This window comes from Homo sapiens, chromosome 19 (genome assembly GCF_000001405.40).
Source record: "Homo sapiens chromosome 19, GRCh38.p14 Primary Assembly".
NCBI classification, from domain to species: Eukaryota; Metazoa; Chordata; class Mammalia; order Primates; family Hominidae; genus Homo; species Homo sapiens.
This window is the reverse complement of record NC_000019.10, coordinates 16,111,272-16,134,410: the sequence shown is the minus strand read 5'-3', so window position 1 is coordinate 16,134,410 and position 23,139 is coordinate 16,111,272. Positions and strand designations below refer to the sequence as shown.

General features: G+C 54.0%; 2 protein-coding genes and 1 long non-coding RNA gene across 7 annotated transcripts in view, besides 6 other annotated features; 1 reads left to right on the top strand and 2 right to left on the bottom strand.

Moving 5' to 3' along the window:
* The window catches only part of HSH2D (hematopoietic SH2 domain containing), a 24,548-nt gene extending 24,165 nt beyond the window's left edge, over positions 1-383 (bottom strand). For all 4 annotated transcript variants that reach the window (NR_163150.1, NR_111903.1, NR_111904.2 and 1 more), the window contains exon 1: positions 176-383. The gene's annotated coding sequence lies outside the window, so the exon portion shown is untranslated. The remainder of the gene's footprint in view (positions 1-175) is intronic.
* Positions 1-12,572, top strand: part of HSH2D-AS1 (HSH2D and RAB8A antisense RNA 1) — an 18,077-nt gene extending 5,505 nt beyond the window's left edge. Inside the window, exon 2 of one of the 2 annotated variants that reach the window (NR_199155.1) lies at positions 7,922-12,572. This is a non-coding gene — a long non-coding RNA (HSH2D and RAB8A antisense RNA 1). Of the gene's footprint in view, positions 1-7,423 lie in introns of both variants that reach the window. The other variant, NR_199156.1, reaches the window with a different exon arrangement.
* On the bottom strand, positions 177-22,522 carry RAB8A (RAB8A, member RAS oncogene family). Its single transcript, NM_005370.5, has 8 exons — positions 22,386-22,522; positions 16,125-16,185; positions 12,601-12,661; positions 8,864-8,941; positions 6,885-6,974; positions 6,320-6,385; positions 4,807-4,857; positions 177-2,199 (listed from the first exon to the last, which is right to left on the bottom strand). The coding sequence occupies exons 1-8, from the start codon at positions 22,507-22,509 to the stop codon at positions 2,107-2,109; spliced, it is 624 nt and encodes a 207-aa protein (NP_005361.2). The 5' UTR covers positions 22,510-22,522; the 3' UTR covers positions 177-2,106.
* Positions 14,288-14,337: an enhancer, noted in NCBI's record as "active region_14207". NCBI's record gives its function as "activates an Ori minimal core promoter by ATAC-STARR-seq in GM12878 lymphoblastoid cells {active_cell/tissue: GM12878}" and the evidence as "EXISTENCE:reporter gene assay evidence [ECO:0000049][PMID:35858748]".
* Positions 14,758-14,807: an enhancer, noted in NCBI's record as "active region_14206". NCBI's record gives its function as "activates an Ori minimal core promoter by ATAC-STARR-seq in GM12878 lymphoblastoid cells {active_cell/tissue: GM12878}" and the evidence as "EXISTENCE:reporter gene assay evidence [ECO:0000049][PMID:35858748]".
* Positions 15,288-15,347: an enhancer, noted in NCBI's record as "active region_14205". NCBI's record gives its function as "activates an Ori minimal core promoter by ATAC-STARR-seq in GM12878 lymphoblastoid cells {active_cell/tissue: GM12878}" and the evidence as "EXISTENCE:reporter gene assay evidence [ECO:0000049][PMID:35858748]".
* Positions 15,508-15,597: an enhancer, noted in NCBI's record as "active region_14204". NCBI's record gives its function as "activates an Ori minimal core promoter by ATAC-STARR-seq in GM12878 lymphoblastoid cells {active_cell/tissue: GM12878}" and the evidence as "EXISTENCE:reporter gene assay evidence [ECO:0000049][PMID:35858748]".
* Positions 16,728-16,977: an enhancer, noted in NCBI's record as "active region_14203". NCBI's record gives its function as "activates an Ori minimal core promoter by ATAC-STARR-seq in GM12878 lymphoblastoid cells {active_cell/tissue: GM12878}" and the evidence as "EXISTENCE:reporter gene assay evidence [ECO:0000049][PMID:35858748]".
* Positions 22,480-23,139: a silencer, noted in NCBI's record as "silent region_10290". NCBI's record gives its function as "represses an Ori minimal core promoter by ATAC-STARR-seq in GM12878 lymphoblastoid cells {active_cell/tissue: GM12878}" and the evidence as "EXISTENCE:reporter gene assay evidence [ECO:0000049][PMID:35858748]".

Here is a 23,139-nt window from a genome sequence, read left to right as displayed (position 1 = left end):
ATGCGTGGCTCATACACTTTCTGTACAAGTGATGCGGTTTATGCTAAACCCCTGCTTTCTTTGTAGGAGTCTGGAATCCTGATAAGTGCCAGGTAGAGGGTTCCTATGTGACTGGCTCCATAAACACCTGGGTACAGAACTGCCAACTAGCTTTCACAAAAGACACATTACACACCTGTTGTTACAACTCATTGTTGGGGGAGTTAAGCATGGGGTGTGTGACCCCACTGTGAGAGGATTCTGGATGCTTCTGTCTGGTTGCCTCTGGACTTCACTCTGCATGCCTTTTCCCTTTGCTGATTTTGCTGTGATCTTGGCTGTGAGTACAGCTCTCTGCCAAGTCCTAGGGAATGACTGGACCTGGGTGTGGTCTTGGGAAGGACCCTGGATAGAGTGGAAGGAATGCCCTGGAAAGCCAGCCAGGAGAGGGCCCCTAGAAGGACCTGCCAGGGAGGCAGGAGGGACACAGTGGCCGAGCTGTGTGCCAGAAGCCAGGTGACGCAGGCTCACCATGTTGGCCAGGCTGGTCTCGAACACCTGAGCTCAAGTGATCAGCCCGCCTTGGCCTCCCAGAGTGCTGGGATTACAGGTGTGAGCCACTGCACCAAGCCAGGAGGCTTCTTTTCCCAATTTAGTCTTTTGATGATGGGTGGCATCTCCTCTGAGGTGGCCGCTCGATGGGGTAATCCATGGGCTCTACCATCTTGTCCAGACCCACCCCCAGCACCTGGCCATGTCCGTGTGGCCTACAGGGAAAATGTGGACATAAAAATCCTTGGACTTTAAGATGAGCTTTAATTTGTTTGTTTTCCTTAAGTGCATTTATCGATGTAAACAGAGCATGTTAGAGATTCCCGGGGAGAGCAGACTATTGCTGATATGTTGGTTTTAATTCAAAAGAAACGATGATGCCAATGGTTTGGATTGACAGCAGCTTAAGGAGGAAAAAAAAAAAAAGAAAGAAAAAAAGAAAAGGCTGGTGACACCCCCCTGGCGTGGTTGACCTGGTCCCAGTCGCAGTCCCTATGGGACAGCAGAGCTGTCAAAACAGAACCCAATGATGACGGCTGAAAATCAAGCCAGACTGCTGTGCGGTCAGCTTGCCGCCGTGGAATGCCTTGTGTCTTGGCCATGTCCAGCCAAGGGTACAACGTGCTTGTTCCCGATCACCCAGGTTTGCCATTGGAAGTCAAAGACAGAATCGCTTCATGGCACTACAGATGTGGAAAAATAAAAATCTCAGCTAGAAAGAACGTCCGATTTGGAGATAGCGGGAGGACACGAAGGAGTGGGGGCCATTTTGGTGCTGAGAGGAGGGTGCCCCAACTTCAGGAGGACCATGTGACGGCTGTGGTTGTTTTCGGGGTCACTTGCAGCACACACAGCGTCCCCTTGATGCTCGATGGGGACCGCAGACGGGCCTGCAGACCTAACCCCTGGCTGTGGACAGGAGAGGCTGCTCCAGGCTTCTTTCCTTCTCAATGCTTTACACAGGATTTCCTTCATTTGTGCTTTCCTTTGGTTTAACAGTTAAAAAAGAAGAGTGAGGGGGCAAAATGGTTTGTCACTTGTCCAAAACTGAGAGAAGAGGTGGAAGTGGGCGCCAAATCTCCTGGGTGATGCTTCCTGGTCCTGGCGATCGGTTGCCTTGCTCAGGGTTTGGGAGCTGTTGCTCCTGGAACCACCGCTGGCCTTCTGGGACCTCGCTTCCGTGGTAGGGGACGTGAACCAGCCTCCTGGTGGAGCTTTGTGTTGCAGTGAGGCCACAAAGCAAAGGCCCAGAGGCAGAGGCCTGACACTGGCTGTGGTCGACGGTCACACCTTGACTCCCTCTCTCTCTCTGAATATACAACGTGTGGGTGGGCCCGTTCAGCAGATGTTACAGGAAAAATAGCAAATTTTTAACTTATTCCATCTCCAAAGTTGAAAAAGATCAGACAGTTACTAAAATAAACGATTTCTCAATTGCATTCTGGTGGCCGTGGGCCCGGTGGCCGCGGCGTGGGCGGGGCGTTGGAGGTGGGAGGGCCCCGGCTGAGTGAGGGGCTCACTCAGAACAGGCACAGTCAGCTGGGCTGAGCGAGGCTCAGAGTAAGGCGGTGTTCCTCACAGAAGAACACATCGGAAAAAGCTGCTCCTCTTCTGCTGGTCCGGTGTGATTTTGACTCCCTGGTTGCTCCCCTGGGGGCTGTTGCCTTCCTGAAATCACAAGAGGTTTTCTGAGGTTATCACTGAGAATCAGCACTACGTCTCACAATCAACCAGCCATCCACCTAACCATCCACCTAACCATCCATCCAACCATCCAACCAACCAACCAACCAACCAACCAAACAACCAAACCAATCAAACCAGCCAAACCAACCAACTAACCAACGAGCCATCCAACCATCCATCCATCATCTGCCAGGTCATCCATCCATTACCATTCCAGCCATCCAACCAACCAATCAGCCATCAAACCATCCATCCATCATCTGCCAGTCCGTCCAGCTGTCCCCTTCCAACCATCCAACCAACCAACCAACCAACCAACCAACCAACCAACCAACCAACCATCCATCTATACCCTTTCAACCATCCATCCATCCACTCACCCATTCCCTTCCATCCGTCTATCCACCTGCTTCCAACCAACAAACCAATCAACCAACCATCCATCCCTTCCAACCAAGAACCATCCACTCATCCATCCCTTTCCAACCATCCATCTTCTTCCAACCATCCATCCCCTTCCAACCAACCAACCAACCATCCATCCCCTTCTAACCACCTCATCCAACCAACCATCCATCCATCCCTTTCCAACCATCCATCCACCCATCCATCTCCTTCCCCCCATCCACCCTCTTCCAACTAACCATCTCCTTCTAACCACCCCTTCTGACCAATCAACCATCCATCCATCCCCTTCCAAGCAACCACCTCCTTCCAACCAACCATTCATCCATCCCCTTCCAACCAACCAACAAACCAATCATCTATCTATCCAACCATCTCCTTCCAACAAATCAACCATCGATTTATTCCCTTTCAACCAACCATCCATCCATTATCTTCTACCCATCCATCCAATTCTCTTACAACTGATAATTCGTTTTTCAGAAACAGATCTATTTTCCATCTGCTATATACCACCCCTTCCAACCACTCTCTCACTTATCTGCCCACCCCATCATACCCTTCCCAGCACTTTGGGAGGCTGAGGCAGAAGAACTGCTTGAGCCCAGGAGTTTGAGTCCAGCCTGGGTAACAAGTGAGATCCTGCCTCTTAAAAAAGAAAAAATGGCCAGGCGGGGTGGCCCACACCTGTAATCCCAACACTTTGGGAGGCCGAGGCAGGTGGATCACCTGAGGTCAGGAGTTCAAGACCAGCCTGACCAACATGGTGAAGCCTCGTCTCTACTAAAAATACAAAAATTAGCTGGGCGTGGTGACATGTGCCTGTAATCCCAAGTACTCGGGAGGTTGAGTCAGAAGAACCGCTTGAACCTGGGAGGCAGAGGTTGCAGTGAGCAGGGATTGCACCATTGCACTCTAGCCTGGGCAACAGAGCGAGACTCCTTCTCAAAAAAAAAGAAAAAGAAAAAAAATTAGCCAGGCATGGTGGTGTGTGCTTATAGCCCCAGCTACTTGGGAGGCGGAGGTGGGAGGATTGCTTGAGCCCAGGAGTTGAAGGCTGCAGTGAGCTGTGATGGTGCCACTGCACTCCAGCCTAGGTGGCAAAGTGAGACTCTAAAAAAAAAATCTCTTTTTTAACTAATAAGAAAACTAAAAGAAAAAAGAATCAGACCTTGACCATTATACTGAAGAAAAAAAATTGCAAGAAAATCCCAAATTATTGTTGGTCAGTGCACTGGTTTCCATGAACTGTTTCCCATTTTAATTTAATGGCCAAAGAGCTGCTATTAAATCAATCACATGCCTCACTGTTCAACACACCGCATCTTAGAATTACAAAACAGATTTGCTTACATCAGATGTAAAACTTGAACGGCATTTTGTATTTTATGTGCATTCTCAAGTGACCAGACTTAACCCACAAATAGAGCGCCGTGTGCTCCTCGATTGGACAACCAATGTAACATGGCCGGGAAAGGGCAGTTGCTGGAACCAGGGCGAGGGAGGAAGGGTCACTACGGTGTTTAGGCACTAAATGCCCCCAAAGTACAGGGAAGTGTTTGATTCCATCAAGAAAGCACCATTGATACTGAGCGCAGCGGACTAGGAAATCGCTAACGTGGTAAAAAAAAAAAAGCAAGAAACGAATGAGAGGGTAGATGGGTAGGGATTCATGCAGACTTCCCTGGAGGCCTCAGAGAACCCTGGGACACAATGAAGGTTGCAGAGCTGTCACAACTTGTAGCATCTGGGGCTGGGGTGGAGCGGGGGCAGGTTCTTGATCTGCCATGCTTGTCAAGACGATGAGCCAGCAGTTATCAGACACCAGCCCTGGCCCTGCCCAAGCGACCTAGGAAGCTTTTCTCCGAGCCATGGCTCTCTGTCCTTGCACACCATGTTGTCTTTCTGGCCCTTGAGTGGAATGGAAAAGGCCGTGTGCTCCCTGCTAGCCTGGGGATTCACCGGGCACGGCCTTGTCTGCTTGGGCAGCGTCCCCAGGCTGGCACTGCCTGATGCTGATGCCCCAGCCACACCTGCAAACTCTTCCCCCTTTCCCAGCAATGTCCCATGGGGTCTGGCTGGGCCCTAAAAAGCAGGATCTAGGGCACGTCATATCACTGCTGCTAACGACGATGGCTGGATCCCAGAGATCCACCCGGGGATCTCGGAAGGACACACACTCACCAATTTTTTGTCCATTTTTGCTTTGATATCTCTGGCGAGAGTGAAAAATGCCTGTGGAATAAGCACATTGTGAGTCCTTGGGATGGCAGGACCCTGAGTCCTCAGCCGCCCGTGTACAGCGGGTGTGGTGAGACAGCTTCCCAGGCGTGGGCCTCCCATTTGGCCCTTTGATGCCCGCCTCTGGCAGTGGGTTCATCTGGCCTGTCCGGCCCCAGCTCATCCTTCCCCGGCTCCCTCTGCCTCCCACCCACCCTTACTCTCTGACATCAACTCTCACTTCCGCAGAGCACCTTAGCATTGACGGGACTTTACGCATGTGCCACCTCCCCTAAGCCCTGTGAGATGGGGCGACACTCAGTTGGCCAGAGAGGAAACTGAGGCTCAGAGAGGCCAAGTGACTTGTCCAAAGGAACCCAGCAGTTAACCGACCAATCCAGAAGGATCTAGGAGTGCCCAGTTCTTTGTCTCTGACTCCTAGGTTCTGTCAGCTCTGGCCTCCCTTCTGATGGTCAGGGAAAAAGGCAAGCAGCTCTGTGGCCAAACAAGCTTCACTCGGAGTCCTTGCCTGGCAGGGCTGGGAGCGGGAGCAGGTTCATCTCCCAGCACAGCCAAGGGTTGAGCTGCTGTCACAGCCTTGAGGAGGGGACATACAGAGATGGCGGGAGGCGTGATCCCAACATACATCCCCATGATGTGGGAGGTTCTGGAGAGGAGAGTGGCTTGGGGTGCGGAGGAAGGCCCAGGGGAGACTGAAGGTGTTCTTGGGGAGAGGCCCCCAGGGCCAGGCCCTGACTAGAAAAGGGAACCTGGCAGGCAGAAAAAGGGGCACACAGGAGGGAAATGCAGTGACGTATTGGAGAAGGGAGCAGCCCAGGTGGCCTGGGGAGGGCAAGGCCTGAGCCCTGGGTGGCAAACACCAGCTGTAGCCGGTGAGGGAGGGCCTTCCACGCCAGGCAAGGAGTCTAGCCTTTGTCTTCACGTCAGCATAGAGACTTTAGGTCGGGAGTGATATGGAAGATCCGCCTTGGAAACATGACTAGGATGGGGAAACATCACAGGATCGGCCGCAGGGCTGGGGTCGCCCCGTGGAGAGGGGAGGGTGGCATGGGCCCAGGTCCCATCAGGGCTCCCTGCTATGTCTGGGCTTTTTTGACAGGGGCCTCTCCAGGGTGAGTGGTGTGGCTGAGAGGGTAAACACAGAGCTGGGTCTTTCTGAGCCTTAGTTTCCTCACCTGTAAAACCGTGCCTATTCCCCAGGGCTGCCCAAGAGCCCGTGAGATGCGTCCTAGGTGCCCTTTGTGGTGCCTGTCCCTGCTGATGGCACATTCCCAGGGGCTGCCTGTGCTTGGCACGTGGCACTGCCCAGGAAATGTCCCTCAGAGGACTGACTGGCAGCCCTGAGCCCGAGGCTGGTCCGTCTGGCAGGACCTCCTCGGAGGACGCCAGCTCCCCCTTTAGCCTGAAGGGGCCGATCCTGCAGGCCCCATGTCTCCCAGCAGGGCCCGGGACTCACATTTTCCACATTGATGTTGGCCTTCGCGCTGGTCTCCATGAACTTGATTCCATAGTCGAGGGCCAGCTGTGAGAGAGGGAGGCACACGCATGAGCACACCAGCCGCCGGGCGCATCTGAGCTTGCCTAAAACAGGAGCTGAAGGCAGGGCCGGCGCCAAGAGGGAGCAGCAACAGGGCTGGGGCTGTGGGCGTGACTTCCTGGATCACTCCCTCAATTCTATAGTGAATGCCCCTCCACAGGGCCTCACAGGGCATGGAGTTGCTGGGGATGGCAGCTGAGATGGGAGGGTGGCGGGGACCTGCTGGGATCAAACTATGGCTCTGTTCCCCGCTCCTGTGGTCTTGAAAGTCTGGAGCGGGGCCATGGTAGGTTTTGATGAGATGCCCGCAGAGTGCACCCAAGAAGCCCCGGCTGGGTGTGTGCTTCTGTCATCCCATGGCACGTGCCCCACTGGGGTGACCAACTCGTCTCAGGCCCCTGGGGCAGAGGAGGGACAGGGGAAGGCCTCTGCACAAGAACCCCAAGACCCCGAGGCCCTCTGCCCCTTGTGCCACCATGCCCACCTTTTCTCCCCGTTCCTTGGAAACTTGTCTCTTGTCATTCACATCACACTTGTTCCCGAGTATCATCTTTTCGACGTCTGCAGAGGCGTGCTGAGAGGGAGGGGGACAGACGGGGGATCAGACCGGATGACACAGGCCAGGTGCCTCTGCCAACACACAGTCTGTCCCCAGAAATCAGAGCGGTGGGGTCAGGACTGCTAGGTACAGCCTGGTCTAAGGGACAAGCTGAAGCTCAGAGAGGCCAAGCAGCCGGCCCCATGTCACACAGCCAATGCCAGGGCTGGGGCCAGGGTTCTAGCTGCTACTCTGAGCAAATGCACATTTTCTGAAATGCTTTCTGGCAGCTTCTATGGCTGTATCAATCAAGCCCCCGCACCTGGGATGCTGGGCGGGTCTAGCCTATGGGAGGTGAGTGAGGCTGAGATATTTACCCCCCGACCTTGGCTTTCCTCCTTCCCTCCCTGGCTCCTCTGCAAGAGGCCCCAGCTGTTGTCCTGGGACCTTCTGCTTTGACACTTTTTTTTTTGTTTTTTTTTGAGATGGAGTCTCGTTCTGTCTCCCAGGCTGGAGTGTAGTGGCATGATCTCGGCTCACTGCAACCTCTGCCTTCAGGTTCAAGCGATCCTCAACCTCCCGAATAGCTGAGATTACAGGCATCTGCCACCATACCAGGCTAATTTTTTGTATTTTTAGTAGAGACAGAGTTTCGCCATGTTGGCTAGGCTGGTCTCAAACTTCTGACCTCAGGTGATCTGCCCGCCTCAGCCTCCCAAACTGCTGGGATTACAGGCATAAGCCACCTCGCCTGGCCCTGACATTTCAACTATTTTTGGGCTCCAGAAACAGGCCGTGCCTGAGGTGGTCGCAACTCGAGGCCGTCACCAGCTGCAGGCACTTCACCACCCTGTCTGATGTTGCCCAAACTCTGCCCTCATACCCAAAGGCAGCTCCTTCGTCAAGTCTCCCTGGGTCCCCATGGAGCGGACCACGCTTCCTGGAGGACGGGGACACTGGAAACTGCTGTCTTCTTCCACCAGCTCAGACTTGGTCTCTGGAACCTACTGCGCCACTCCCTGCCTCACTTCCCATGAACCAGAAGGTGGCTCCTGCCCGCTGGCCAGAAACAGAGACCTTTCACAAAGACCAGGCTCTCCTCCTCTCCACGGATGAAGACAGCTTTCCCAGCTGGGGTGCAGCCCTGCACTGGCAAATTTGGCAGCACAGCCCTCTCAGGGTCACTGGGGAGGTGAGCCCAGTGCAATGACTCACAAATGATGGGGTGGCCTCTCGGCCTGGCCTGGGAGGTCCATGAGTCCTGGGTGGACAGTGATATGCCCTTTTGCTGTGGTTTTATAGATGGGAAAAGTTCTCTGGCTGTGCCTCAGACCTGAAGCCCCACATGGTTAGTTATAGAAAGCTGCAGGTGCCGGCAGCCAGGAAGGCTTTGGGGGTGAGGTCAGCTCTTTGGGGAGCAGAAGATGAAGATGCTGGCTTTGGGAGGGGAGGAGGGGTTGGCCTACTTCTCACTGCTCTATGGTTCAAGGTCTGAACACAGGTCGTTTGTACCAGGTCACACCCTGCTCCGATATAGCTCAAAGTACAACTGACGCCTGCTCACCACACCCTCCAACTACAAGGGTCACACCTGTGCTAGACCCTTCCTTCTCTAGAAAGCACCCAACACTCATGGTGACCACAAGCTTGGATATCCTTTCTCTTATAACCATGACACTGGCCAGATCCAACAGCCTAGCTGGAGGGATGGGCTCCGAGGGGCTCCGGGGTGGGGCCAGGCCAGTGTGTGGTCCCTGGGGCCGGCTGCTTGCATCTCAGTCCCTGCTCCCACCATGTCCCTGACTAGGAGGCTGTGGGCAAGTGGCCTGTATGTGTCTCTGCACCTTGGCCTTCTCATGAGTAAACCAGAGGGCTCTGGGACAAGGACTGAAGCAGGGACAGTGGGAGGAGCCGGAGGGCCTCACCTCCTCAATGTTGCGAATCCAGTTCCGGATGTTGTCGAAGGACTTCTCGTTGGTGATGTCGTAGACCAGCATGATGCCCTGCGCGGGGAGAGAAGACACAGGTGCCTGATCGGCTGCAGGCTCTGGAAGGGAGGCCTCAGCGGCACCAGAGAACAGTGGTGGGGAGCCCAGCACCCACTGCACAGCCAGGCCCATTAGCTGCCGCCCTCCCCACCTCTGTGGAGCCCCGGAAGCCAGCCCCCTCCTCTCCATCCCTGTGGCCCTTCTTTCTGCTGGGTTCTGGCACCAGCCTTGTCCTGCCCCCCGGGCCGCTGAGGTGACCCTTCTGCCTCACAGGCCAGCCCCTGCCACGCACTCGCTGACAAGCCCGGCTGGCTCCCCTCATGGCCCACGGGGTGGTGCAGCCTGACGGTGGGAGCCGGTCCACAGGCCCACTGCCAGCAGCACTCCCCTCACGCTGACCCTCCCCTGCAATCGGCCTCCTCTTCACCCCTTGCTCACCCCACGCTCTGCCTGAGCCACCTACCAGGCACAACTGAGCCCAGGAAGTCCTGACCCGACATCCACACAACTTCCAGTGACCCCACCACAGAGGGAACCGGCTGTGTGAAGATGGAGCCGAGAGTGCCAAGGCCCTTCCAGTTCCCTAACCTAGACGTGAGCAACTGGGAGACGGCTCGTGGGTCCTGGAAGAGCTTCGGGGCAGCCCCGCCTCAGCCTGGGTCCACAGCCTCGCTACTGCTGTGGACAAGCGCAAACATGCCCATGCGATGCAAGGGGAAACTGAGGCACAGAGACGTGACCTTTAAGATTCAAGCACGGGGGGCGGGGGGGGGCTAACTCCAAAAGCACTGATGACACCTATCCTCTCAGCAATATCCCTGGGCCTTTTTCAGCCCCAGAACCCACATGTGGGGGCCACCCTCTGACGGTCTGTGTGGTTCTCGATGTCCTTGTGGAGTGCCCACAGCGGGCCAGCCTGCAGTGCCATCACAAGTCCCCCTTTGTTGCCGGGCATCCTGGGCTCCAAGGCACGTGGCCTGCTCATGGCCAGGCCTGGATTTCTTCCTTCCTCCTCGCTACCTGCTCCCCAGGCCCAGCCCTGCATCTGTGGCACCTGAGGGCACTGATGACTTCTGCTGCTGGCCAAGTTGTCTGGGGCCATCCAAGTTTGCAGAATAAGGACACGGGCCATGTGGTAATGGTGAGACAGATGTGGGTGCAAGAGTGTGGGACAAAAACGACACAGATGGGGCAAGAAAGTCACTGCAACCCCAAATCCTCCTGGGAATTCAGGGACATGAATAATGGCCTCACAGTCAGCCGCAACCATGGCGAAGAACCTCAAGGCTGCAGTGGCCCATGATGTCTGCCATGCCCCATCCACGGTGGGCACACCCTGTGACTGTGACATGGTCAGGGACAGGGGGCGTGGGGCCCTTTATCCGGGGACTGGACCCTCTGAAAGCCCAGGATTCCTGCCTTCACCACTAAGTTGGTGACATGTGCCTAAGACTCAAATTCCTGGATTATACCTATTTCAGGGAGCTGAGGGGAGAACCTGGACGTTAGTGGGGCAGTGGGTAGAGCTCTCTCTTAGAATCAAGCAGAAGCACCTGGAAAACACTGAGCCAGCCATCCTATTCCAGGTTTTCCTGGAAACACCCCTCAGGGCTCCAAGTGACTATTTTCCAGGGCCCCGTCTGGGCAAACCTCACCATGGGTCTCTAGGCATCCAATGCTTCCCAAACTTGGGATTTTGAGGCCCAAGGGTCTATGAGCATGCTGACAGAGATGAGGACACAGCTGCAATGGTGGTGCTGTCCCATATGACTGATACTGGCTACACAAGGCTCTAGGGCATCAGAAACATAGCTGCTTTGACCCAAGGAGCTGGATTTTCAATGTTTTTTAAAATTAATTAATTAATTAAGTAGTTAAGCGACGGATACTTGCTCTGCTGCCCAGACTGGAGTGCAGTGGTGCAACCTCGGCTCACCGCAACCTCCGGCTCCCAGGTTTAAGCGATTCTCCTGCCTCACCCTCCTGAGTAGCTGGGATTACAGGCATCCGCCACCACGCCCAGCTAATTTTTGTATTTTTAGTAGAGATGGAATTTTACCATGTGGCCAGGCTGGTCTCCAACTCCTGACCTCAAGAGATCTACCCACCTCGGCCTCCCAAAGTGCTGGGATTACAGGCATCAGCCACTGCGCCTGGCTGGATTTTCAATGTTAATTGGGTAAATTCAAATAGCCACATGCAGCCAGTGGTGGCATCTGTTCAGGTTGGCCTGGGTCTAGGAGGATGGAAAGCCACGATCATCTTGGTGCTGGTTGAGGATGTGGGTGCTAGAGACAAACAGCCCAGCCCAGCCTAGCCATTTACCTGCTGAGTGAACTTCAGCGGGGCAGGCCACCGGGCCAAACCTCAGGTTCTTTGTTATAAAACAGGGATGACAATGGCGCCTGCACAAAGAGGTTCACAGCCAAAATGCAATGAGATAATCTGAGCTAAGACCTGGGCCCACTGCCTGGTGCAGGGGAGGGCTTGGTGGTCAGGGCAGGGTGGAAGGTGGCTATTTGGGCCCAGAGAAGATCGGGACAGGCCCCAGGTCACAGTTTTCTCCAGAGGCTGAAGCTCCCCAAGACCCCAGTGCCCTCAGGCCGCCTGCCCACCCTCCACCAGAGAACTGTGAGGTGGGGGGAAAGAAATACATTAATTTTACTGAGGCACACTAAGGCTGCAGCCCACACGAGTGGGTTGCCATGAGGTTTCGGATGCCGTGTGGGATGCTCTAAACACATAATGCCTCCTTCCATCTCCACCCTCCACAAGTCTTTCCTGAGCAACTACTGCAGACCCAGCAGGTTCCCCGGGGCCAGGCAGATGGCAGGGACCAGGATGTGGCGCTGCCCTCATCGAGGAAACAGGCAGCTGCCTGAGCAATTAAATGATGGGGTATGCGGAGGAAAGAGTGGGGAGCAGAGGGACCTGGGAATGGGGAGAGGCAGCCGTTTATCCTCAGCACAGCCCGAGACACAGTGCTGTGCTCCGTTCCCTTTTCCAAGTCAGGAGATGGAGCTCAGTGGGCAAGCCAGGGTCTCAGGTCAGGTCCAGGGGCTCCACCTCCTGCTCCCTCTACCCCTGAATGCCCTGCCATGTACACACAGGGCCCCTGACACAGGACCTCGTCCCATCCCTGGCCGCCTTCTGCATCTAGTTAAGGCCTGGCCCAGAGAAGGTGCTTGAGAAATGTTTTGAGGGATGATGACTGAGTCTTCCCATCACGTCATCCCGCCTCAGGCCTGGGTGACGGATATAACGGCCGACAGCCCAGGGCAGGTCAGCTCCTGGAAGATCTTCAAGCTTTTGGTAGCAAATTTCAGAGACAGATGCAGGTCATGTGACAGCTCCTAAAAGTCGGGGCATGCCGGCTTTAACTGCACTGAGCTCACCTGGAAGAACCGGCTTCCTGTGTCTTTCTTCATTCCCAAAGAATTATGTTTCCACTTTATTTAAACCTTGCATTGTCTCTGCAGCCAGAAGGGGAGGTATGTACATGGGGGTAGGCCGGGGCACAAAGCCTGTTCCTAAGACTAACTTGGGACCAAGGAGCCCTGAGGAGTTGGGGCACGGGCTCCACAGAAACATCTAGGCTTCGGTAACCAATGCACAGTGACGCTCCCATGTTGACTTAAAAAGCAGATAAAAACAACCAAACAAAAAGTCCCTACCATTGCACCCCTGTAGTAGGCCGTTGTGATCGTCCGAAACCGTTCCTGACCGGCTGTGTCCCTAAACATGAAGAGAAGGGATATTAGCAACATTAAAGGAAAATAACTGTCCTCAGTAGGAGACAAGGAGCATCTACCCGGGATGCCTGGCTTTCTCACCGTTCAGCCACTGTGATACCTTCTTCTGCTAAGGCAGCACCTTCTAATCTCCCTATTATTACAGGGAAGGACACTGTGGCCTGGAGGGGTCATTTGATGTGGCAGAGCCATGATGGGATCCCTGACCCATGCGCCTTCTCCTCTTCTGCACCTTTGCTTCCAGGGAATTCTCCCTGGAGTTTCTGGTTCACAGAAGAGCCAGTCATGTGGCTCAGGAACATAGCTCTTGCTGTTGAGGGTGGCTGGGACTCAGGAAAAGCTTTCAGGCCTGCCATCTTGGTTTGAATGATGGGGAAAGTCCCTCCTCATCTGCATGACAAGGAACACAGGGCCTATTGCCCGGGAGGTGATGCCTGGGTAAGACATACCCATGCCCAGTCCAGCTCCTGGCTTGAAGGGTACTTAGTGTTTGGTTTAAAGGTAGGTAACCTAACTGGCCGGGCGCAGTGGCTCACATCTGTAATCCTAGCACTTTGGGAGGCCGAGGCAGGTGGACCACCTGAGGTCAGGAGGTTGAGACCAGCCTGGCCAACTTGGTGAAACCCCGTCCCTACAAAAAATACAAAAATTAGCCAGGCATGGTGGCACGTGCCTGTAATCCCAGCTACCTGGGAGGCTGAGGCAGGAGAACTGCTGGAACCCAGGAGGTGGAGGCTGCAGTGAGCCGAGATTGCACCACTGTACTCCAGCCTGGGTGACAGAGCAAGACTCCGTCTCAAAAAAAAAAAAGGTAACCTAACTGGCCTGGTGCAGTGGCTTACATCTGTAATCCCAGCACTTTAAGAGGCCGAGGCGGGTGGATCACCTGAGGCCAGGAGTTCGAGACCGGCCTGACCAACACAATGAAACCTCATCTCTACTAAAAATACAAAAATTAGGCGGGCATGATGGCGTGGATCTGTAGTCCCAGCTACTTAGGAGGCCGAGACACAACAATCGCTTGAACCTGGGAGGTGGAGGTTGCAGTGACCTGAGATCGTGCCGCTATATTCCAGCATGGGTGACAGAGTAAGACTCTGTCTCAGGAAAAAAAAAAAAAAAAGCCAGGCGTGTTGGCTCACTCCCGTAATCTCAGCACTTTGGGAGGCTGAGGCCAGCAGATCACCTGAGGTCAGGAGTTTGAGATCAGCCTGACCAACATGGTGAAACCCTGTCTACTAAAAATACAAAAGTTAGCCAGGCATGGTGGCAGGTGCCTGTAATCCCAGCTACTCGGGAAGCTGAAGCACGAGAATTGCTTGAACCAAGGAAGTGGAGGTTGCAGTGAGCTGAGATCATGCCACTGCACTCCAGCCTGGGTGACAGAGTGAGACTTTGTCAAAAAAAAAAAAAAAAAAATTAAAGGTGACCTAACTGATTGGTGACAGAGCCAGGGCAAGACTCAGGTCTTTTGTCTCCAAGCCCAGGGTTCCTCCCACGGCCCTGCTGGGACCCGGAGGGCTCTATACGTCTGGATTGTGCAGAAACACCTTGCTTGGAGCTAAGCTGACTTTCTGACACCAGCAGCAGGAGACATGAGTGGTTAAAAACAGTCATTTTTGCCAGGTGCGGTGGCTCACGCCTGTAATTCCAGCACTTTGGGAGGCCGAGGCGGGTGGATCACCTGAATTCAGGGGTTCGAAGCCAACCTGGCCAACATGGCGAAACCCCGTCTCTACTAAAAATACAAAATTAGCCGAGCGTGGTGGCAGGCACCTGTAATCCCAGCTACTTGGGAGGCCGAGGCAGAAGAATTGCCTGAACCCAGGAGGCGGAGGTTGCAGTGAGCCAAAATCGTGCCACTGCACTCCAGCCTGGGCAACAAGAGCAAAACTCTGTCTCAAAAAAACAAAGAAACAAAAAAAAAAACCAGTCATTTTTTTTTCAACTACAGTCCTTAGAAGAGTTTTGAGTCACTAACCTCACCACGATTGCTAAGAGCAGAAGCAGGAAGGCAGGAGGAAAGTGAAACTTCTGCTTGCTGATGCAGTGTCACTTTGGACTTGGGAACAAAGGGTGACATGGCACCAACGTGCTGGAAGTGGAGAAACTTCCATGGCTTGGAACTTACAAGGCAGCCAGAGCTTGACTTACTACCAATGTCTGCAGGATGAACTGCAAGTTAAACCTACCCGACTCCCAAAGTCAGATTAAGAGGTGAACAGTAGGGCCGGGCGTGGTGGCTCACGCCTATAATCCCAGCACTTTGGGAGGCCGAGGTGGGTGGGTCACCTGAGGTCGGGAGTTGGAGACCAGCCTGACCAACATGGAGAAACCCCGTCTCTACTAAAAATACAAAATTAGTTGGGCGTGGTGGTGCATGCCTGTAATACCAGCTACTTGGGAGGCTGAGGCAGGAGAATCACTTGAACCCGGGGGGCAGAGGTTGCGGTGAGACAAGATCGCGCCATTGCACTCCAGCCTAGGCGACAAGAGCGAAACTCCGTCTCAAAAAAAGAAGAAAAAAAAAGAAGAGGTGAATAGCACCTGGAGTCAAGGGTAGCTGTGGGGCTCCCTGAAACTGGCAAGTGGGGGTGACCGGTCAAACTTTGAGACTTGAGGGAGGATGACTTCGTGGCCCATCTCCTGGCACACTGCTCCCACTCAAAGGCACTTGCCTGGTTTGGGTGACAGGGAAATTGCACCATGCTCTTAAATGTGACTTCTCTTTGTTTTGCTCAGGGCCAGTGACTCTGTGCGAGTGGCATGTGTGCAGGGCAGGACCCCACTATACCCGCCACCTGAACTCAGTCTCAGCAAACTAGAATCAGGCCAGCGATGGCGACTTGGAGTCTCCCCACTTCCCTAATTGTATGTGCATGGGAAGTCACCCTTAGTTCTCAGGAATGGAAACAGGTCTCAACATGGGGCCCGGCCCTCCGCTTAATTTCGGTTTGGGGTTTCGGTCTGTACGCTAGGAAGGGAGGCCAGGCCTGCCCCAGGGGAGAAAAGAGGAAGTGAAGTTGGACCTTTATGCTTCTGAGTGGGTTGAGAGGCTCAAAAGGAAACTCTCGGCTGGGGCATCTCACAGTCCCTGCAGGCGTCACCAGCACCTGGCACTGAGAGGGCTCTCTTCCCGTTCAACAGAAGCAGCCCACTCTGAAGGCCAGACCCAGATGGTGCCCACTGTGGAACACTGAGCTAGCCAGGGCTGGGCAGCTTTGTGCCTATGATGCTGTAGGCCCTGGTGCCCTGCAGCCAGCAGAGGACAGCTCTCTGGGCTGGGTATAAACCTCCAGGAGCTTCTGGAGAAAGCCCCATGTGCCAGGACTGGGCACCAAGAAATGGAGGCCAAGGTCACAGGGACGGTGGAGGGAGAAGGCCAAGGGCTTCTGGCTTGAAGCCATTGCCAGGTGGAGAGAATGACAGAGAACAATGACTCTTACCATATCTGCAGTTTAATTCTCTTGCCATCGAGCTCTATGGTCCTAATTTTAAAGTCAATTCCTGAAAGAAAAAAGAAAAAAGGCACGTCACTGTCAGCCCATTTCCCAAGTTGTGTCTGAGCTGGGCGCCACCAACCTGTGCAGGTGACAGCTGTTGTGGCTTACGGAGACCCTGCCTGGTGCTGGGCATGCAGGATGTCGGAATATCCAGATCTGGAAACACTTGGAGATATTTTCCCTCTCCAAGAGCTGATGGGAGCAGTGCAGAGCAAACCCAGGGGGCGCGGGTGGCAAAGCCCTGCTCTTGTCCCTTGCTGCCAGCTGAACCCGCCTCCCCACCCCAGGCAGTTGTACGGAGTGGGTCTCAACAGAGCCCTCTGCAGGCCTGAGTCCCTTGCTCCCCAACACCCTGCAGCTGACCAACCCCCAGGCACACAGGGCCTTAGGCCCCACCATGCGTCAATGCACATGGTCACGTTCTCTCCTGCCCCCAGCTTTTGTACATGCTATTCATTTTCTGCGGGTGGTCTGTGTCCCACTGGCCCGTCAGCTAGGCACACTTCTCCTCCTTTAAGGCCCCCTTGAAGATCACCTCCTAACAAGCCTTCCTGACCCCATCTTCCTTGTCTCTCACCTCCCGCTTTCATCCCCTTTCCCCACGGTGACCTCGCAGCCACCTTGATGTTCCCCAGGCTCCCACTGTTCACCCGCAGTCCCCTCCCCAGCCTTCAAAAATATAACCCTAACCATGTTACACAGCTAACCTCTGCTCCAAACTTACTTTCTTTTTTTTTTTTTGAGATGGAGTCTCGCTCTGTCGCCCAGGCTGGAGTGCAGTGGCACAATCTTGGCTCACTGCAGCCTCTGTCTCCCAGGTTCAAGTGATTCTCCTGCCTCAGCCTCCCGAGTAGCTGGGACCACAGGTGCCTGCCACAATGCCCGGCCAATTTTTGAGTTTTTAGTAGAGATGGGGTTTCACCGTGTTGGCCAGGCTGGTCTCAAACTCCTGACCTCAAATGATCTGCCTGCCTCAGCCTCCCAAAGTGCTGGGATTATAGGCATCAGCCACCGCACCCGGCCCTCTGCTCCAAACTTTCTAGTATGTCCACCAACAGATGAATGGATGAACAAAATGTGGTCCAACCATACAACAGAATATGACCCAGTCATAAAAAGGAACGGAGTACTCATCCATGCTATACAATGTGGATGAACCTTGAAGACAGGATGCTGAGAGAAGCCAGACACTAAAGGTCACTTAGTGTGAGATTCCATTAACAGACATGTCCAGCATAGGCTCATTCATAGAAACAGAAAGCTGATTAGCAGTTGTCTGGGGCTGGGGGGGCACATGGGGAAACTGGAAGGGTTGGTATCCTTTTTTTTTTTTTTTTTGAGATGGAGTTTCTCTGTCACCAGGCTGGAGTGCAGTGGTGCGATCTTGGCTAGCCTGGAGTGCAGTGGTGCGATCTTGGCTAGCCTGGAGTGCAGTGGTGCAATCTTGGCTCACTGCAACCTCTGCCTCCCGGGTTCAAGTGATTCTCCTGCCACAGCCTCCCAAGTAGCTGGGACTGCCGGCACGCGCCACCATGCCCAGCTAATTTTTCTATTTTTAGTAGAGACAGGGTTTCACCATGTTGGCCAGGCTGTTCTCGATCTCTTGACCTCGTGATCTGCCCACCTCAGCCTCCCAAAGTACTGGGATTACAGGCGTGAGCCACTGTGCCACCGTGCGTGCCTGGCCTTGGGTTGGTGTCTTTTTGGCATAATAAAAATGTTCCCAAATTGCCTGTGGTGATGGTTGTGGAACTCTGTGAATGTACCCAAAGCCACTGAATTGTACACTGCAAATGGGTGAACTGTATGCGAATTCTATCTCATAAAGCTATTTTTTTTTAAAGCCTCTTTCAGTGGCTTCCCTGCCCCACTTCCCTCGAATAAAGTGGAAACAGCTGCTCATGTGTGTCAAGGTCCTGCCTAACCTGGTCACCTCTCAGCACTCTGGCTCATGACCTGCTCTCTCTGGCCACACCATCCACACAGCGATTTCCTCAACATTCCAAGCATGCTCCTGACTCGGGGCTTTGATGTTTGCTCTTCCCTGCCCTGGAAAGTTCTTTCTTCTGTAGCTACCTGGCTATCCCTTTGTTCAGGTTCCCATTCAAGTTCCCTCCTCAGGGGAACCTTTCTGACCATCCTCATCAGTTCTCCCTTTACCTATTTATTAACATAACTGACATACATGTATGTATCTGCTGCATGGACCTGGGCATAATGCTTGCAGATCATAATGGCCCATGTAGATGAGAAACAGCCAGACCCAGCCTTTGCCACCAGGAGTTTGTTCAAGTGCCTGCTGGGGAAGACTTGAGGCCCAGGCCTGGCTGGGCCTCTCTGAACCCAGGGTGGGGATGCTAATTCCATCCATCCAGCCCCAGCACTGGACTTTCGCCCTCTCAAACGTAAGCTCCCTGGGGCAGGGAACTGACAAGTCTCATCCACTGCTATTACCTCCAGTGACTGAACACACAGGGGTTGAATACACATTTGCTAGAAGCTGGTACCCCAGTCCTGCACGCACCTTGACTCACCTGTGTCCTTTCTGCAGCCCTCTTGCCAAAATGGCTGCCTGGCCCACAGAAGACACTGGCAAAATATGGCTGGATCAAAGTATTAAAGCGCAACAGGGTCTACGCGGTGTTGAGCGGTTCACAAAGCACTTTCTCAAATGCCAACCCTTTCACTGGAGGAATCAATGGGCCCCTGAGGAGGCAGTGGCGCCGAGCCAGGCTGGTGAGAACCCATTCCAGGGAGCTACAGGGCCAAGTTCACACCACAAATGATCTATGGGGCTTCTGAGAATAGGCTTTGATGAAATGTAACTTTTGGCAAAATGTTAAGGATTGAGTGGCAGAAAATGAATAGCCACTCAATCCTTGTCTATAAAGAAAACCCAGAGGTACACTCAGCCAATATAGAATTGCTTCTTTTTTTTTTTGGAGACAGAGTTTTGCTCTGTTGCCCAGGCTGGAGTGCACTGGCACAATCTTGGCTCACTGCAACCTCTGCCTCCTGGATTCAAGCGATTCTCCTGCCTCAGCCTCCTGAGTAGCTGGGAATACAGGCAAGCGCCACCACGTATGGCTAATTTATGGAATCACCTTTAAGCATTAAGGTGATACTGCTTCAGGACTAGACAGCCCAGTGTGCCTGGGCTTCCTAAAACATTCCCCATTTCCTGTCACACGTGTACAGGGACACAAAAAATCGAGGAGCACTGTTAGGTTGGCCAAGCTCCACAGCAGCACTCCGCCCTACACTCCTCTGGGTTTTATTAACATGCCAAATTTAATTAGGAAGTGTAAACTTTATGAGGCCTAAGAATTATGAGGTCTGACCTTCAAGGTCATGGTGAATTAGACTTTCCTAGAAGACAGAAGGCTACAAATGGAAGGAGGGGAATGAAGGGGTGGGAGGGAGGGATCTTAGGGTCAGGTGCCACCTCCACCTTGCTAGGTAACTTTCACCAAGTCACATCCTCATCTGCAAATGGAAGAAAGCCTCTTTAAAGCTCAAAGTAACTCTAAAGAGGGGGGTTGGGCTGGGCGCGGTGGCTCATGCTTGTAATCCCAGCACTTTGGGAGGCCAAGGTGGGCGGTCACGAGGTCAGGAGTTCGAGACCAGCCTGGCCAACATGGTGAAACCCCATCTCTACTAAAAAAAAAAAAAAAAAAATACAAAAATTAGCTGGGCATGGTGGCAGGTGCTTGTAATCCCAGCTACTTGGGAGGCTGAGACAGGAGAATCGCTGGAACCTGGGAGGTGGAAGTTGCAGTGAGCCGAGATCGCGCCACTGCACTCCAGACTGGGTGACAAAGAGAGACTGTCTCAAAAAAAAAAAAAAAAAAAGAGGGGGGTTTGTGGGGAAGGCTGGGAAACTGGGATCTGAGTGAATGCAAGCCAGTCTGCTCACAGTTAACATCATTTCTTTCTTTCTTTTATTTTTATTATTATTTTTTAAGACAGGGTCTCGCTCTGTTGCCCAGGCTGGAGTGCAGTGACACCATCACAGCTCACTGCACCTTGACCTCCTGGGCTCAATCGATCCTCCCACCTTGGCCTCCCAAGTGGCTGGGTCTACATGGGTGAGCCACTGTGCCCGGCTGATTTTATTTTATTTTTTGTAGAGATGGGGTTTGCCATGTTGCCCAGGCTGAATTAACGCCACTTCTTGATTGGTTGGAGCACAAGAATTACCCTAAAGTTTAGCCTTGGAGTGGGGGAGGGGGAAGAATTCAGAAACATCTGTCTTCAGAGGCTGGATGCTGTCACTGCAGGAGCCATTCATTTGCTTCCTCTAGATAGCCTCTGGTTGTGGTGACAACCCCTTATTGTCTAATTCTAATCCTCAACCACCAGGGCACTAGGCTGGGCAGACAGTGTCACTCCTGCTCTAAAGACAGCAGGGCTCAGAGAGGGGTAGTGCACATTCAAGGGCAAACAGCAACTGGAAACCAGACGTAATGATTTCCAGTCAATTCTCTCTATTTTACATCTGGCATATAACTGTTTTATAAAGCACAGCTCCGCTGGGTGCGGTGGCTCATGCTTGTAATCCCAGCACTTTGGGATGCCAAGGCAGGCAGATCACAAGGTCAGGAGTTCGAGACCAGCCTGACCAACACAGTGAAACCCTGTATTTACTAAAAATACAAAAATTAGCTGGACGTGGTGGCGGGTGCCTATAATCCCAGCTACTAGGGAGGCTGAGGCAGGAGAATTGCTTGAACCCGGGAGGCAGAGGTTGTAGTGACCCGAGATCCTGCCGCTGGATTCCAGCCTGGGCAAAAGAGCTAGACTCCGTCTCAAAAAATAAAATAAAATAAAATAAATAAAGCATAGCTCCTGGAGGAGGGCAAGAATGGAATTAGCACATTATCTTGGGGTTCAGGGAGATAACACGATTCTGTCAAAGTGACACAGTAAAGCAAAGGCCATTCCCTAGGTTTTCTTGAGTCGGAATAAACTCCTGGACTTAGTGACCGTTCCCCCACTTTCCCCATCCCTAGCAGGGCTACAGAGCTCACAAGCCACTCAAATAGGTGTTACTCCTGGGTCAAACCTTTTCATTGTGGGCCAGGACTGCTTTTGTGGCACTGAGAGAGGTCAGCTCCACTTCTGTGGACATCACAACTGAGATGCACCAAGCCAATTCTGTTCAACCACAATGTGGGCTGGCCCTACAGGAAAAGCTGTTCTAAAGTGACAGCTGGAGTCTTGGGCCCTTTGATAGGGAAGTCAAGGCTGTCTGTGGCAGTGGCTGATTTAGTTTCTCGCTGAGGCTTTTATCTTGCATCTTCTTGGGGATGACAGGTCCCAGGGCAGGCAGTGCTGTCACTTGCCATTGCTGTCATTCCTGGAGCAGGATGAAAGGTGGGCAGGGAAAAGGTCCTGACTCTTCTTATCATTCCTTCTAGAGGAAAATACGCTTATGAGGGGAAGCATGGTCAGGGAGAGGGGCTCAACCTCTGAACGCTCCAGAGAAAAGAGCAGGAATGGTGTGGGTTAGAGTCCCGGCTCCAAGGTGCATTAGCTGAGCTTGTCATCAGCTGGGAGTGTGCAGTGGCATCTCTCTAGGAGAGCTAAGCCTCGAGTTTTGGGTTGAGACACAGCCAGGTTCAAATTCCATCAAATCCCATTCTCACCACGTGCAGACTGTGTGGCCTTGGGCAAGTTCCATGCCCTCCCTGAGCCTCAGATTCCTCATCTTGTCAGACGGGCTCATAACAGCACTTAACACCAAGAACTGAAGAGTGTGAAAATGCACGTGAAGCACTTGGCACATAGTAAATGCTCATTAAGGTGAGATGCCACTGTCTTTTTCCCATGGCCAATTCCCCATGACTCAGTTTCCACTTCTGTAAGGCAAGAGCCTCAAAAGAACCGCTTCGAGGGCTGCTGCTAGGACAGATCGAGAGGACGGGCGCGAAGACCCCAGCCCAAGACATAACACGCCCTAACGAGCGGGCTGAGGGTCGGAGCCTCAGTCTCCCTATCTGCAAAATGGGCACCTGGTCTCCCCCACCACGGCCCAGGAACCCCCGAACGGCGGTGCAGGCGACTGCTCTTCTCCCTTTAGGCCCCCTCGACCCTCTCAGCGCCCTCGGCCCGTCCAGCCCTGTAGATCCCTCAGCCCCAGCCCCTCAGGGGCGCGCCCAGCCCGGGCCTCCGGCGCCCCCAGCCATTCCCCGGTCCCGTTACCTATGGTGGAGATAAAAGTGGAGTTGAAGGCGTCCTCGGAGAAGCGGAACAGGACACAGGTCTTCCCCACCCCCGAGTCCCCGATCAGCAGCAGCTTGAACAGGTAATCGTAGGTCTTCGCCATATTACACTCTCTCCCCGACGGGAAGTGCGGCCAGCGCCTCTCCACTGGCCACCAGCACCGTCCATCAGCACCGAGCCCGCCCCTTATTGGCTCCAGGCCCGCTGCGCGTCACCGCGGCCGACGCCCGCCCCTGCGTCCCGCCAGTCGCGGGGAGACCTTGGGAGGGGGCGAGCGGAGCGCGGAGCCGGAAGCAGCCCGAGCGCACCTCCCATTGGCCGGCACTAGGGAGAGCACGGGCTCTGATTGACCAGCAGTGAAGAGTCGCGGGGCTTCAAATGGGGACGAGGCGGGGGCGTGGCATTATGTGGCCCCCGCCTTCCACCCCCGACTCGGGCGGCCCGGCCCCGCCCCACTGTAGGAGAGGGAAGGCAGGGAGCGGCGCCAACCGCTCGCGCGCCGGCAGCCTGGCGGGGCGTGGCTTGGGGTGCGTGCGCACGCGCGCCCGGAGTTCCGTTAGGCGACAGCAGAGGGCGCACGCCAGTAGTTGGGGCGGGTGTCTCTGGGTCCCGCCCTCACAGCTCGCGCAGGCGCAGTAGGCACCGAGGCGAGCGCGGGAAAGCAAGGTAGCGCTCTCAGCCTTGTCTGCGGCCTGCGAGTCGGGGCAGTGGGGGCCTAGGGAGGAAGGAGAGA